Below are 1,325 nucleotides of genomic sequence, written 5' to 3'. Positions count from 1 at the left end.
TTGCCTGCTGCGGTGGTTCATACCTATAATCCCAGCACTTTGGGAGGCCGAGGAGGGAGGATTGCTTGAGCCCAGGATGTTGAGGCTACAGTGAGCCATGTTTGTGCCACTGCCCTCCAGCCTGGGTGACAAAAAAAGGCCCTGTCACAAAAAAAAATAAATCCCTGCCCTTATAGAACATCTTTCATAAACAGAGATGATAACGAAATGAGTAAAATATATAGAATGTCAGAGTGCAATGGAGAAAAACAAGGCCAGGGAGAAGGTAGGGGCAATAATGATAATAATCATGATATTTATCTTTTTTTTTTTTTTTTTTTTTTTTTTTGAGTCAGAGTCTCGCTCTGTCACCCAGGCTGGAGTGCAGTGGCGCGATCTCGGCTCACTGCAACCTCCGCCTCCTGGGTTCACGCCATTATCCCGCCTCAGCCTCCTGAGTAGCTGGGACTACAGGTGCCCGTCACCACACCTGGCTCATTTTATATATATATATATTTTTAGTAGAGACGAGGTTTTACTGTGTTAGCCAGGATGGTCTTGATCTCCTGACCTCGTGATCCTCCTACCTCAGCCTCCCAAAGTGCTGGGACTGCAGGTGTGAGCCACCGCGCCCGGCCTAATCATGATGTTTATCTTTTTTTTTTTTTTTTTTTTTTTTTTTTTAATTTATTTTTTTATTGATAATTCTTGGGTGTTTCTCATAGAGGGGGATTTGGCAGGGTCATGGGACAATAGTGGAGGGAAGGTCAGCAGATAAACAAGTGAACAAAGGTATCTGCTTTTCCTAGGCAGAGGACCCTGCGGCCTTCCGCAGTGTTTGTGTCCCTGATTACTTGAGATTAGGGATTGGTGATGACTCTTAACGAGCATGCTGCCTTCAAGCATCTGTTTAACAAAGCACATCTTGCACCGCCCTTAATCCATTTAACCCTGAGTGGACACAGCACATGTTTCAGAGAGCACAGGGTTGGGGGTAAGGTCACAGATCAACAGGATCCCAAGGCAGAGGAATTTTTCTTAGTGCAGAACAAAATGAAAAGTCTCCCATGTCTACTTCTTTCTACACAGACACGGCAACCATCCGATTTCTCAATCTTTTCCCCACCTTTCCCGCCTTTCTATTCCACAAAGCCGCCATTGTCATCCTGGCCCGTTCTCAATAAGCTGTTGGGCACACCTCCCAGACGGGGTGGTGGCCGGGCAGAGGGGCTCCTCACTTCCCAGTAGGGGCGGCCGGGCAGAGGCGCCCCTCACCTCCCGGACGGGGCGGCTGGCCGGGCAGGGGGGCTGACCCCCCCCACCTCCCTCCTGGAGGGGGCGGCTGG

The 1,325-nt window shown here is 49.3% G+C and overlaps 1 annotated feature.

The window, feature by feature from the left end:
• Positions 607-1,124: an enhancer, noted in NCBI's record as "NANOG-H3K27ac hESC enhancer chr11:44685723-44686240 (GRCh37/hg19 assembly coordinates)". NCBI's record gives its function as "activates a minimal SCP1, AML or CMV promoter by ChIP-STARR-seq in naive H9 embryonic stem cells {active_cell/tissue: H9 hESC(naive)}" and the evidence as "EXISTENCE:reporter gene assay evidence [ECO:0000049][PMID:30033119]".

The sequence above is a fragment of the Homo sapiens genome, chromosome 11 (genome assembly GCF_000001405.40).
Source record: "Homo sapiens chromosome 11, GRCh38.p14 Primary Assembly".
In the NCBI taxonomy this organism is placed as follows: domain Eukaryota; kingdom Metazoa; phylum Chordata; class Mammalia; order Primates; family Hominidae; genus Homo; species Homo sapiens.
This window is presented reverse-complemented; position numbering and strand designations above follow the sequence as displayed.